Source organism: Homo sapiens, chromosome 6, assembly GCF_000001405.40.
Source record: "Homo sapiens chromosome 6, GRCh38.p14 Primary Assembly".
In the NCBI taxonomy this organism is placed as follows: Eukaryota; Metazoa; Chordata; class Mammalia; order Primates; family Hominidae; genus Homo; species Homo sapiens.
The window spans coordinates 69,374,265-69,390,014 of record NC_000006.12 but is presented as its reverse complement, the minus strand read 5'-3'; the positions used below and the strand labels follow the sequence as shown (position 1 = coordinate 69,390,014).

General features: G+C 35.7%; 1 protein-coding gene across 1 annotated transcript in view; it reads right to left on the bottom strand.

The window, feature by feature from the left end:
* Positions 1-508: 508 nt before the first annotated feature.
* The window catches only part of ADGRB3 (adhesion G protein-coupled receptor B3), a 754,225-nt gene continuing 738,983 nt past the window's right edge, over positions 509-15,750 (bottom strand). Inside the window, exons 31-32 of the mRNA NM_001704.3 lie at positions 7,080-7,184; positions 509-1,312 (exon numbers count right to left, since the gene is read on the bottom strand). Of these exons, the coding sequence (NP_001695.2) occupies positions 1,124-1,312; positions 7,080-7,184 (294 nt within the window). The 3' untranslated portion in view covers positions 509-1,123. The remainder of the gene's footprint in view (positions 1,313-7,079; positions 7,185-15,750) is intronic.

The window sequence follows — 15,750 nt, the reverse complement described above, 5'->3', positions numbered from 1 at the left end:
AATCAAATACATCCACTCCCCTTTTCCTTTTGCTAGAGACTATATAGATAAAAATTTTTAAAGTCCTGAAGAAGTTCTTTTTTTTGTATGCGATGAATAACTGTAGTATGAGTAGTTTCCTTTGTGAAACATGCAGTGGACTTCATTACTTAAAATTAACATTTTTCCCTGTATTATTTTCTGTATGGAAACTTACTGTTTTCTACTAGTTATCTGTTTGCCACAAGATAGAAAAAAACATAATATTTATGTAAGAGTATGATGGCAGCAGATTTCTGACAAGCCCCATTTACATGGTACATCGTTCCAAAGAATGTTTGAGTAGAAAATACAGAAGCACTATATAAACCTATTATTACATTTGAGAAATCATTAGCCTCAAAGGAGTAATAATAGTATGCTATTAAAACCGTGAATACATTTTTAGTATCTGTATTGAAAAAAAACTTTATAAATATGTAAATTTCTGGTCAACAAATCCAAAATAAAATGCACTAAAAAACTGATATGTAGACAAAAGTTTATTTACACCATACAACATTTTAAATATTTTATACACAGCTGCAGCAGAGAAAGCTTCTCAGAGCTTTCTAGAGAAAACTGCAATAATAAAGATGTGAAATATATTATTCATATAAAAGTGAGATTATTACTTTATTGCATTTAAAGCAATGAAGAATGTAGCTCAACAAACATTCATTTAATGACAAAAACTTTGCTTTTATATTATAAAGTAAAAAGTGTAGTAATGGCCAAACAGACTGTTATAAACTTTAAAAACTGCATAAATATATACATTGTGCTTCATGGTGAAGTTTTTTGAAAACTAAACCATATGAAGCGGTTACAACATGAATCGTTGCTTGAGGTTTATCTATAAAGATTACCTTACAAATCCATTCCACGGGTACTTACAACACAGGATGGTCAGAACTGTACACCTGGTCATCTCTCCACTAGCCTGACTAGTGAGAAGTTACCATATGAAAACACCACTGACGTTTGGCACATGAAGGTCCTGACATAAGATAGTCACACTGTCCAGATAGAAATGTCAGGCTTCCCAAGTCTTAAGTGTCAGTGCAATAAAGTTTTGTCTCTACCTTAGTCCATTTTGATTTTTTTAAACTTCTGTTTGAAAGTCACCCTCTTGCACATCCAGAGGCAAATTCAGACACTTCTCCCACTCTGCTGGCCTCAGTTCCAAAGCATCCTTTGCCTCTGTGTCTAAGACATTGATTGTGGTGTAATGCGGGTATTCACTGGGGTTTTTGAAAGTGTCCCATGGATTCTTGTTTGGTGCGGGGTTTTCCTGTTGAGAAGAGAGGGAAAGAGAGTCATTTATGTGATGACCAGGATCACCGCTAGTTGAAGTTTCCAGGAAGAGAGCGTGTTTGTAATCTTAATCCAGTTTCTGTGATGCAGAGATGACTTGAAAATACGGCCAACTGTGGGAAATAGTTTTGATTTTAGTTTTATTTCATTGAACAAACTGATGAATACCTTCTCTTAGTTACCCAACAATTTTCTAGGAATCAAAGGAAGTGAACAGTAGTATAGAAGGCAAAGTAGGCGATGTTTTGTTTGGGGCATGTTGTGAATTGTCAGTATGACCATATGTTGAAGTAGGAAGGAGAGTTAAGTCACCACTAAGATTAAATGTAGAAAATGTAAGTATTGTGACAGAAATTTGGTGAGATTAGCAGATTTGAGAATGTCTTATGGGGCATATTATTTGATAATAAAAAGTTACTCAAGGTAACAGAATTCCATTAAATAATTTAGATCACTATGCCTAGTTTTTCTCAAGAAATTAACATTTTAGAATATTTAAATGCTGCTATATTCTCTTGTTTTATGAGTTTTTTGTTGTAGAATACAGATTGACTAAAATTAATAATTATGAGATAAAATTTAACTGTTTATCTAAATACTTTTTTAAACTTGTAATTGTATACCAATAAATTCTATAAAGTTTGAAAGATATTTCCCTCTTGAAAATCACTGCCTTTAATTTCTATTAGCTCTCAATTTCTATTTTTTCAGAATTATTAAAATGATCTTAGAAGCCCAATATTCCAATTTCCTTTTTATTTTTCATTATAGAATGTCATGTTTAGTGAGAATATTATAGTTGTCGAGTGTAAGCCTTCCCTGCTCCCCAAATCTGGCGTTTAACTGATTATAATCAATTACCAAGTGAACAGAAAATAGGTACTTGAATTACTATCCAAACTCCACTCAATATATTAAACATCATCTGAAACTATGGCTAAAGAAAGAGAGGCAATCTGTATAAATACTTATCATACCTAAACCATGTGCAGTGATGTGTGCCTGTAATTCTAGCTACGTGGGAGGCTGAGGTAGGAGGATTGCTTAAGCCCAGGAGTGTGAGACCAGCCTGGGCAACATAAAAAAACCCAAAACCAAAAACCAAAACAACAACAAAAACACTTACCATAACTGGAAATTAAATTAATAAAATGTTTAATGCATTAGATGTTTTCAGCACTGATTAACCTTACTTCTGAGAATATATGGGGAAGAAAGGTTAATAGTAAACATTTAATGAAAGGTTAATTTTTAGGATGTGTGGAGGGAATTAATTAATTATGCTTTAGTCAAATATTCTAAAGTCTCATGAATTACAGTCTTGTAGCTCTACCTCTGCCTTATCCTTCCTTTCTTTCCTCTCTCCCTCTCTGCTTCTCTTCAATCAATATTTATTTATCAGCTGCTCTGTGCCAGACACCATATTAGCTACCAGGGAGGATGAAGTCATAATCAGCATGGTCCACTAGGAAGCTCAAGATTTAAAGCCTGATACATGCAGGTCCAAATTCCAGTTCCTCCACTTCAGATGAATGTGATTTTAAACAATTGATTTCATTTTTCTGAACCTCAACCTGAATATCTGCAAAACAGCGATATGCTTTATATTGTGGGCCAAGGAGTTGGCAGAACGTGTGGATCAATGCCTACCTTATGGGGTTGCAAAAATAAAAAAGTGGGGTAACCTGGAATGATGCCTGGAGAATTTAATAAACACTCAATATATAGTAGCTATACTTATTACAGAAGAATGTATAGTTAAATGGAGGTTAAAACATGTTAATATTTATATCTATCATCCAGGAAAAGTACTATGGGAATTCAGAGAAGGATAGAGAGATGGCTTCTTTATACAGGAAACACATAAAACTTTCTGAGAAAAGTAACATTAGGGCCAGAATAGAGGGATGGGCTTGGCCACGAACACATATGTGTGGTTGGAGGTCTGGTGGCTGAATGACACACTGGGAAGTAAAAATCCAAAGAACACGGAGACGGGAAAGCCATGAGAACAGGACCTATCTATTTTAGTTGGCATAAAAGAGAATAGCAGAAAAGCAGGCAGATGGTGAAGTGGAAGCCAGATCATAAGGGATTCTGAATGCCTGGCTACTAAATTTGGAATTTATTTTGTAGGCAATAGGGAGATGTTGAACGTTTAGGGGCACTATGGTGAGACCTGAATCATCAAACATCAACTGAAAGGCTCACTGGTTCGAATTCTACTGAATCAGATCCACAGTGGACTCATTTATCATACACGAGGGTTGTGTCTAAAGGAGATTTCTGGGAATCCTTAGTTTGAAAGAAAGTCCAATTAGTTCAATCCTGAAAGAATTCAGAGTATGTAATTCCAAGTATTTGTTCATTTGCTTGGAATATATAGGGGCTCCATTATGTTTGGAACAGATATGATTTCAAAGATCAACTGTTATGGATATGTGAACTAAAATGGCCAATTTTAAACTTTGTCAGAAAATCTATATTCTAATTTCAAATGCTATTATTGTCACTACATGACCTATTGAATTCCTGAGAGGTTCTATTAGTGGGTAATACATTAATTCATAATTCATTAATTTTGGCTTTCTACTAATCTTTAGCATCCCAAGCCACTCCCAGCTCAACTGGTGTTCTCATTATTGTTCACAAATGTGTGGATGCCCTTTAGGTCAGAGGCTTCTTTAGTGGTAAAAAACTACTGCACTCAGAAGTCAGAGTGGGAACAAGATCTGCAGGGAGTAGGGAGAGACTTTGTTGTCAGTGTGTGGTACCCAGGAGCGACTCATCGTCCTGCGTGTTGGGCGTGATAAGAGAGGAGCCTATAGACTCTCATACTGAAAAGTGTAATATTGTCAATTGTCCAAGTAAATGATGAACCGTGGAGCTGTCCAAAGGGATCACTGAAGTTGGTGATGAGAGCTGTAGGTGCCAGGAAAGGTTTCAATGGAGGTGTGAATCTTATGATAAAAACTTCGAAGTTAGTGTAAGTCTCCGAATTTATGCTGCTGTTTTGTGTTTGTTAATTTATGTTTTGCACTTGAGTACAGAATAAGGAGCTGTAGTTAAACAGATGCATATTTGTTAAAGGCTAAAACATCATAAATTCCATATAAGCCAAAGTGCACGAAGCTTCCCAAAATGCTAATTTGGTCTTAAGCTGCATCAGTAGAAATAGAATGTTAGGTAAACAGAGTTCAGAGCCACCCAAAAATATGGCAGGGCTGCCTGAGCATTTCCCATAGTTCGTGGATCCAGAGCACACTGGCTGTCCACTTGTGGATAAGTCCCTCCCTCCCTCCATCCATCTATCCTTTTCTCTTTTCTCCTTTCCTTTTTTTCTTCCTTCCTCTCTCCTTTGATTCCTCTCTCTCTTCTTTCTTTCCCTCCTTCTTTCAACCTACCAATATTTAGGTACGAAGCAAAAAAGAGTATGCTTATTTTTAAAAAGTAAGAATTTGCAAAAGCTACTTGGGGGAAAGAGATCTTAACTGAATGGTTTGTGAAACACACACAGAGTAAAATAGTTTCTTCTCTGGATATCAGTGCCTTCTCTTTTTTAGTGTGATTTAAATGTTTTCCTGCCTGGAAGCAAGGAAATGGACTAAATGGTTTTTTGGTTTCCCTTTGATTCCCCAAATTCTATTATTCTACATAATTACCATCATTTGCAGTGCCAGGCAGGTGCTGTGAGTCAGCAGCCCGGAAAAAAAAAAAAAGAAAAGAAAAGAAAAACCCCTTTATTTGAGGTTTTAAAAAAGTCTGTCTCCACCCAATTATGCAATTTTTCATTAATAATGTGCCACTACAAATTATGTGACTAAATTAAAGATAATGAACTCACTCATGCTCATTATTAATAAAAACTGAATAAGGAAGTCGCATTTTTTTCTCTCTCTTCTCAGATATTTAGGATGACAGTCAAGCAGCAATGACAACTCTATCCTCCCCACTCCTAACCTTCCAAATGGTAAATATTTATAAATCTCTTCTAGAAAAGGCACGCTGCTGCAGAGATGTGGTGTAATTAGTAGACTATTTTTGTTGTCAGGAAACTGAGATACAGATAGTTGTGCCATTAATGATTTAATACCCAGACCATACAACAAGGGGAAATTACAATCATATTATAGCAGTTAGCCAGCTGTATCTGTTGCATAAGACTTTTAGATTTGTAAATATAACCCTCTCCTTTTTTAAGTAATGAAGTTTCTTCAATTATTTCAATGTTATCTTTCAATATTTCGAAATGAGTAGGTAATGTGTTTAGGTCTAATCTCAATGGTGTAATTCTCACTTGCATGCTAGCTAAAAATTGATAGCCTTCTATCAGGAGGAGTAGAAGAGGAAGATCCACTCATTATGAATGAAGTGTTTTCTATATGCCTAGCATTTGATTGGTGATAACAAATAATACATGATTCCTACTTTAAGGAGAAAAATTGATGAACATGAAACTATTAAGAGACCAATTAAGAGTTAGAGCGTATATTTCTCATAGCCTTCATTTAACAAACACAGATTGAATGATCATAGCCATGCTATAAATCAATAGAAGCCATGATAACTTATCACAACTGGAATTGTACTAGTACTGAGAGGAATAAAAGAAAAACATAAAGATACATAAAAGATACTCTTCAGCTCTTCCGAAGCTAACATTACTAATCAGGAAGCTAGGGCTAAGGCTCATAAAATATATATGGAAGAATCACTAGATTAAGAAGGTGACCAAACGTCATCTACTTTAGAACAATATAAATATTGATGTCTGGAAAAGAAGAAGGACCATCCAAGGGCCGCAAAGAGTATGAGGCAAAGAAAGAGCCCCATATTTGGGCAAAGGAGAAGAGCTGGTGTCAGATGGCAGTCCCAGCTCTATGTCTTATAGCTGAGCCTCAGCTTCCTAGCCTATAAGGTGCTTCTTAACCTACTTGCTTTTGAAAGTGTTGTAATGACGGAAGATATACATTAATTACTATTTTCTATGCTCCATTTAGGAGGGTGAAATTGGAGTTTAGAAACCTGAGTTGGGTGACTTGCTTAAGATCAGATAGTTCTTGATTGAGCTTTTGAGCTTTCGACTAGTATACTGATTTCTAGAGTCCTGGTCTAGTGCTCTTATAATTACATAAACTTCTGTGAAGCTATGATTATGCCATAAACATAGTAATTGTACAAAGTTATTTTATTTGATGAAGTCCTGTACTAAGATTATAATAATGTAAATGAATGAGAAGAGAATGGTCACAGTTAATAACCAGAGTCCCCAGTGTTGATGTGTGTACGAAAATTCTTACCACAAAATAAGTAAATCTCCTGGAGACAAAAATCTATCACTCTGGTTTCAGGTTACAACTTCATATACATAAAACAATTACATTTATGTCAGACATTCAAATGAAAATGGAAATATTAACCCAAAGGGATATTTGAAAAGAAACTTAATTTTAATTTTAACTCTGACAGTAAAATGATCAGATGAAGCCAATATAGTTTTGATATAAAACTAACTCTAATGAAAGCTTATAAATGAGGATATTTGAAATATGAATAAAATGCCTAAAGATTCTGTCATTCCTAATTTGTCTTGGTAGACTTTCCAAAGTATGTTTTGGGGGCTTATACTTTTTTTTTCTATGTAGACTCATCTTATGTTCCCACCATTAGGAGGTCCTGGAAGGCAGGAATAATATCTGACATGATGCATCTTCTACTCAGGCATTGAAGCAAAGCATACTTACCATACTGCTTGTATTTGGTATATCCCGAAATCTGTCCAAAGTTTGAAATTTCTGATTTAGTTCTTGAAATAGTTCCATATGCCTCTTCCTTGTATGCATGACCTTCTGCAAAAAAGAACAAGATAGCTCTCATCCCCAACTTGATGTATGTTTTTCAAACAAGAGAGATTTAATATTTTTGCTTTAATAATAAGGGTAATCAAGTTTGGCAGGAACCAGGAGGTCCTATAAGATGCACAAATGCAAATAAGTTGCAGCAAATCATTGTCTCATATTCAGCACTTCTTACACATTAAGAATTGGCTTTTTCTTTCACTTACAAGACTACAAAAAAAAGGTTTTGTTGTGGGTACATTAAAAATGTACCAGTCATTTCTGAGTAAGATTTTCATTATTCAAAAGTTAAAACTGTTTTACAAAAACTGTTATCATATTTTTAAAATGTTTAAAAACTTAAACTTGTAAAGCACCCAGTCCCTGATGTTTGTCATGGGAAATATTACTTTTTTATGCTTTATTTCTATAAACACTAAAATCCTAGCTGGCTGTACTAAAGTGGGAACAAAATCCCAAGCCCTGCCATTAAGGCTGAATCAAAGCATTAAAGTGTCTGAAATATATGTGGGATGTAAAACCTTGCATTTTCCATGTGCATAATGATTGAGCTTCTTAGGGGGAAAATCTGACCCATAGATTTCATCCATTTGTTTAGGAGATGGTATAGATTCTTAACAATTAGGGTTCAGAGCATAAATTGTGTAGCTGATCTGCTTCTAAAATCACAGATACAAATATATTCATACTCCTCATCCCTGGTTACACCCTTTTCTCTCAACTTCACCATAACTCAACAAATGGAGTCAAATAAAAATGGCCTTGGGGTAAGTATCATGGGCTGAATCTTGTTCAATTACAGATCATTTAAGAGCACTAACGAAGAAGAGTTAGATAATAAGTGCCCTGTATTTGTAATTGTTATTTTAAAGGAGAAAATGTCTTCCTCAGTTTTGATTTTTAAAAGTTAAAAATCAATATTTTGGTGATTCTCCAAGACTATGCCTTCATATTTGTGTAAGATTTTACTGTATTTTAAGCATATGCCTCATAACTTACCATTTGTGCCTGTGGTTTGCATAGGTATATTATATCTATGTTTAAGCTAGAATTTGAATATTTGGTCCATTGTTTCAACTAGCAAATATTTTCAAAAGTAAGGATTTGTTTTGAAAAAGAAATATATCTTTGGGAGAGCTGTAATGCCTAATTCCTTCTAAAAGACACTGCAGAGAAGCACTTTATCTCCTTGAGGAAAAGGAAAAGGACAAAAGACAAAAACAACTGAATCTTTAACACATTAAAAAAGTCTGTTCTCTCCTATGCAAGCTTTAATTTCCTATATTTAATAAATATGTATCTAGGCAATACATTGTTTAGCTCATTTCTTTCCTTTTCACTAGCCTACTTTTATGTGAGAGATTTCTGCCATTTTATGTCTTGCAACAATCAGTTTCTGTCTTTGCTCCTTTTGGCTCTAGGAGTTGGCTGTGTGAGAATCAGGTGTTTGAGGACAAGAACATGGCAACATTACTCATGATAGGGACATGAAACATAGCAAGCAATTATAGAGCGATTAACTTCCCATCAGTTTGGGGGGGAATATACAAAACGGATTTGCAGGATTAACAGAGAAACACCAGGCAAACATAATTTGACTAGTGATGGCTTGTGGAGATTTATGAGAGAGAGGATTTGCATAAGCAACTCAATGGGGAGATTTTGAGGACCCTGTCACTGGCAAACATAAAGTAGCACATTCTTTCCTTTGGGAGACAAACACTTTCATGCAGTACCAGGTTCTAAGATACTGATGAAAATATGGATTTGTGTCATAAGGAACACTTAAAAAAAAACTATTGTAGTTAGAAGACTGGGTGTGCTTCTAACTTACAAATTTCATTTTTCATAGCAATGAATCTTATAATATAGAGTTATTTTCTTCTATGGCACAGTGGGGTGATGTACTGACATTTTTCTGAGATATTTTATTCCATCATTTAATACATGCTTACAAGCATCACATATTGTGCTAGATGCTCAGGTAATGATGTTGCACAAAATCTGATTGAGTTTCTGATCTCTGGTAGCTTGAAGTCTAATGGAGGACACAGCCATAATAATTCAAATAAATGTAAAACTGTAAGCGTGATAAAGAAAACATATGGTACTGCTATGAAAGTGATAGGATAATTTGCTAAGATAAATCCAAGTGAGGCAATCCCCTCATTTTCATATATTCATATTTAATTTGAAATTCCTCAAATTAGTTATTCCCATGGTCTTATTTGTCTATCCTCTCTTTTCCATTTTCTAGGATTCAGACAATTTCTAGCTCAATTTTTAATTCTATGCTGGAATCCCCTCCCTTCAATGGGATCTTTCCTTTTCAAGTACAAGAAACTCATTCTCTTCTAAGAGAGTTGATGCCAAAGGCACGGCACCCTTATTTTGAGATGAGCATCTGATAATTTTTGTTTGTGAAGTCTCCAATTATCCTTCATCTTGTGAGGATTCTGACTTTGCCTTGGGGAACTATACCTTCCCATCCTTCCCATGTTGCTGGAAATGTCCATTGATATTCCTACTATTCTCTGGCCAAGAGGTGAATTATTCCATCCCCTTCCAACAGTTATTTCATTAGTCAAAGTCACCTAATGTTTGTTGCAGCCAAATACTTACACCAGATAAAGCATTTTTAAGAAGCAAACCAAGCATCAAATACATTCCATGGAAAAGAATATACATTAGCTGATTGGAGGTTTTATAATTATATTCTGATTGAATGGGTAGTACCTAATTCAGAACTGGGTGGATCATATTTCAAAGAATTGGATTGCTATGAAAGTCTAAAAAGTATACAGGAAAAATATAAAGTTATGCTGGTCACCAATATTACGTAACTAAAAAACATTTTGGTATTTTCTACCTGGGTTTATTAAAGCTATTCTGAATAATAAAGCTGAAGGACGCTGAAATGAATATGGAAACAAATGAAAAATTTGTATGCTGAAATATGGGGCCCTTGTTACCTAGAAACATTAATTGCAAATACTTCCTCATGCCAAATATTCATTCTAATTTGAAACTGCCACCTTGGCACTGCCAGAAATAACCATAGCAATGATGGCCTGGAGTTCTGGCAGAAGTATCACATAACAGCTGCCACTGACAGCTCATGTCTCTGACATGAACTCAGTTTGATTGTCCAAGCATGATTTCTTCTTGTTCATAGACTCAAGTAGATCGTCCAGCCTTTAAAATAAAGAAGAGTCCACTGATAAGAATGCCAGCTTCACAGTGAACATTGGAAAGTTTATAACCCAACAATATTCTGGGGCAACAACTTAGGTGTCGTTTTAGTTTTCACATGTACTAAAGGTTTCCTCTTATTTATTTACTTGTGTGAGTATTTATTTGTAGCACTGATGCTTCTAATGAGTTGCCACTTGCTTAGAAGTTTTCATGCTTATAAATCTATTGGTCTATTTCATTTAGCTGTTTTTTATGTTTAGTGACATTAGGGTTTATCTGATTGCCTTTTTCTTTCTTTTCTAATTTAAGCACCCGTTTTTTAAAGAAATTAACTGCTGTCAAAAACTGAACTTAGAATTGAGTTTTCAAAATGTGTAATAATGAGAAAATTCTAATCTGTGGATTTTCTATTTAAATAAAGATATATTCTGATTGACAATATCTACACATCTATAGAATTCAGGTGGCTGTCAAATATTATATGCATCTTTTGCAATAAAGATAAGAGCATGATAATGTTTCCTTGCATTCATATTACTATCACGCAACATTTCTTGAAGCTGTATATGAATCCCCATCCTGAGAGGACCACCAATCTAACTGCACAAGAAATATGCTTTCCTGAGTAGCTTATTTCAAAAGACCCCTTTCTTTTTATACATTTTAAATGCAAGAGAATTAGTCATTGCAATCCTTTAATTATTGATATTAGAGAAAAAGTGATTCTATAAAATGAAGCACATTCATCATATTTCAGATATTTGAGAAAAATGAGGATGGAAAGCCACCTGTATGTCTGGAGTACCTGCTATATCCCAAGAACTCTCCTAGACCATTTAAAATACTTGGAATATGCCAAGTCTGATAGCATATTTCTCCAAGTTGGATCTAGAGAAATGTATATTTAGACCTCAGTTGTATCACTTTTAAGTTGTGTGGTCTGAAGTGTAAAATCTAATCTCCTTTTAGCCCCAGTTTCAGTAATCAGACTTACGTTGCAGGGTAATTTTGAAGATTTAAAAAAGGATATAAAACACTTATCATTGGGCCACACAGATAAGAGCCACTTAAGAAATGGCAGCCATTATTATCTTTCTTAATCCTCACAATAACCCTGGGAGGTAAAGCCATTATCTCCACTTTACTGATTAGAAAACTGAAGCTCAAGGAGGCTAAGTAAGTTTCCCAAGCTCACACAAGTAGTGAGCAAGCTGGAATTCTTTCTGAATTCCACATCAATTCTCTTTGCTTGTTGCTATCTTAGATGTGTCTCATAGATTCAGGGAGCACTCTTCTTTAGACTATTCAGGTTTGTAATTATGTCTTTTTAAAATGGAAAATGAGACAAAACAATCCAGGATGGGCTAGGTGCCCTCTGTAGTGAGCCCATAAGCTCCATGGATATTGATCACCCTGCAGCTATTTCATAGTACTGCAATTATATTTTTAATGGCTGGTCTTCATATTTTGTCTCTGAACAGTTCCTGGACAATTGCTTATTCGTCTGTATATCACTGGCACCTAGCACACAGCATCTGGCATTCAGCAGGTGCTCAATAAATGTATACTGAATACCTTAAATGAACAAGACAGCATAGACATATAGGCCAGGGAAGGCGACTGCCACATGGAAGGCCATTATAAATGTCCTCTTCTTCTATAAAAGAGGTCTTCCCGCTGGAAGAATGGCTCATTTACTTGTCCCAACCAGGAGCTTTGCCTCCTCATTCTGATTTTATTGTGTTCCTTTCTTTTTAATACAAATGACTTGTAAATGACCTGTAAATGACCTGTAGGTGGGCTTAGAAAAAACTGTTTACAGATTTTCACTTTAATTCATAAGTGTGAATCACAGAGTTGATGCTTAAGTCTGAATTATATATCAGAGAGGTATTCACTGTATACAGACTTTTAGAAGCTGAAATAAATTGTTAGAGAAAGTTGGAGAATCTCCTAACCATAAACATTATAGTATGAGGTCTGGAAATCATGGGCTGATGGGAATTAGAAACCAGTTTCTGTGAATGACGTTTTCCAGCCTTAGAACTTTATACACCTACAATGCCGTTGCCCATATCGGCTAAGATGAACCTGTGGTTCTTCTTCTTTACTGGTTTGCATGAGTCCTTTATGGCTGGCTTCTAGATGAAAAGGGAAGGGAAGGTTAGAGTAATATTTTTAAGTTTTTTGGCTTGCTTTGGGGAAAAGAAGTTCTACTTACTATGATCCAATTTGGTGAAGAGGAATTCTGGTATCTATGACTTACTTTGGAGGAGAATAAGGGGCCACTGACAGGAGGGAAAGAGAAGATCAGAGAGATCCTGATTCTGAGGTTGCTTCTGAGGCCTTTCAATGTTCTTAGTTCAAAGCACTCAGTATGCCAAAGCACCATACTCTGGGCTACCATTTTCTGAGCCCTGTATTCCTCTCTCCAGAGTAGGTTGTTGAATATTAGCCTAAAGTGAATGTCAAAACTCATATTAAGGAAGCAATGCACACTACAGGGATTTAGCTTAGTTCTTAAAGTGTGTTGTGAAAGGGGGATGATTTCCTTGGCTGGAGTCCCAATGCATCCCTCACATGGAACTTGTAGACCCATTTTTAGTGTCTATGTTTCAAATATGTTTCTGTTTGAATAAATATGATGCCAGAGTTTAAAAGAAACTAGATGCAGGGTCTGAAAACAGCAAAAATTAGTTGCATATTTTTTTATTTTGCCACTGTCAATCATGAGTATACTTGCTGTAAATGCATAATTTTGCAACAGTTTAAATTTAGTAATATAAAAAAAGATGGCTATTGTCTAGGACTAAATTGCTCAAACTTTTCCTCTAAAAGTACCCAGATTGCCTAATGGAGTGCACTTACTGCTGGGGCTCAGGGATGGCGCAGGAAGAAGTCTGTTATGAACAAGACATTTCTTTGAAATCTTATGCCTTATACTTAGAAATTGAAATATACTTTGATTTCTATGTCACAATTTAGCTGTGTTTGTAGTGATATTGAGTTAATATAAAATGATCTCTTACTTCTATTATCCCCCAAATCTCCTTGTAAAAACTCAAGCCCCCATGAAAATGGGGATTTGTGATTACCCTGTGTCTGTGTCTTCTTTTGTCCTCTGTCCACCATCATTGTCTCCCAGTTTGAGAAATATGAAAATAGTGGAAGTATGGAGCTCATTAAAAACTCAGAGAAATATCCTAAAATGTTTTTAAAAGGCTACATAGGCCAGGAACGGTGGCTCATGCCTATAATCCCAGCATTTTGGGAGGCTGAGTCAAGGGGATCACATGAGCCCCAGAGTTCGAGACTGGCCTGGGCAACATGGTGAGACCCCATCTATACAAAAAACAAAACAAAATATAAGTAAGCCAAGCATGGTGGCACATGCCTGTGGTCCCAGCTACTAGGAGGCTGACATGAGAGGATTCCTTGAACCCAGGAGGTAGAGGTTGCAATGAGCCAAGATTGCACCACTGCACTCCAGTGTGAGTAACAAAGCCAGCCTCTGTCAAAAAAAAAAAAAAAAAAAAAAAAAAAAGGCTACATAATTTTCATGGAAAACTGTGAAAATTTTTATCTCTGCATTTTTGGAAGTGAAGATTAAAAAAGACATATCCGTATGACAAGTATATGGATACAGTTCTTTTTGTTGTTCTTTGTTTGTTTTTACTTTGTTTTGAGATGGAGTCTCACTTTGTTGTCCAGACTGGAGGGCAGCGGCACGATCTTGGTTCACTGCAATCTCCACCTCCTGGATTCAATCAATTCTCCCGCCCCAGCCTCCCAAGTAGCCGGGATTACAGGTATGCACTGCCATGCCCAGCTAATTTTTGTATTTTCAGTAGAGATGGGGTTTCATGGATACTTCTTTATCCATATATTTTTAACATGGCATGGATACTGTTATCTATTAGCGTTTCAGAATGAATGCCTGTAATTGTGTTTCTGGGAATTCTTAGAGCCCAAATCTCGACACAAGACAGACGATTAGAACAACTTACCTAATTGTCTGTTTTAACATCACATTAGGAATCTTTATTCTAAAATATTAAAATGGAACTCACCCTGACTAGATATCTTCTTGATTTCCCTGGTTCTGTTACTGGTACTAGCAAAAACTCAGGCTCAGAACTGAAGAGTCTTCTTTTTTCTGCTCCCTCACCCTTTCACCCTATGTTCAGTTAAGGACCAAATTCCATAGATTCTGCCTCTGCAGAGTCTTCTCTTTGCTTTCTCTTCCTACCACCTCCAGGAAGTGGACTTTCATTACCTACTATACTAGCCAATCCTAATTGGTATTTCTACTTCACCTTTCACCCTGCTACAATCTATCCTCATCTTTTTAAAACCTGACATACTCATCTTTTTAAAACCTAGAGTATAAAAAATCATTCTGTGCTGAAACAACAGCAGCAACAACAACAAGCAAACAAAATACAATAGAAAAAGCTTAGCAGCTTTTAGTAGCAAATTAAATAAAAATCCCTCCTGGACTATAAGGCATGGTTTCTAAATTACTCACTTTAGTCTCTTCTTCCATAGACACCTGTTTAGGTAAATTTTGACTTACCTGTTGTTTCTTAAGAATGCCACAGATTAGCCAACCTACATGCCTTTTCCTATTCCTGGAATTTCTACCTGCCATTTTTCTATCTCCTTGAGTTATATCTAATGTGGATATCTTTGAAATTCAGTGTGGCTATCTTTGAAACGTCTCTTCCATAGTTGTCATTTTTTATACTAGTCTCTGCCTTAACTCAGGTACAGTGTCCAATAACATTTTGTTAAACAAACTGGATGGAAAAATAATTCAATTTTTCACCATTCTTTTAAAAAAATTACTGAATGCTTACTAGGTACTAGGATCTCTGGAGGTGGGCATACAATTTCAATAAGGCATTTGGTTACAGAACACAAGAATATCACTACAGTATTTTCTGTATAGTTTCCAGAAAGCAAGAATCCAGAAATGCAATGCTGTTCTGGAGACTGGCTACATGAAAGGGCTATTCCCCTGGTATGACATTAACTAGCCACAAGAGTTTTAGGGATATATGAGTTGGCAGAATATTATCATAGTGTGTGGACTCTGGGGAGTGTGTTAGCCTTAAAGCCTGAAGCAAAGATGTTTTAAGAAGTCCAAGAAGCAGTCTGTCAGTGGCAAAATATTTAAGCTGGCCATTATATGATAAAGCTTGCAGGCGGAGCAGGAGTGTCAGGGAGCTTGATACAAATTTAATTAAGCTAGCCTGAATTAAGAGGGGGACAACTTGGACTTTCCCTCAAGAACCACCCACAAAATATAAATAGATTGTATCACAATTCATTCGCATTTATACTTGGCAATAAGTTTTCT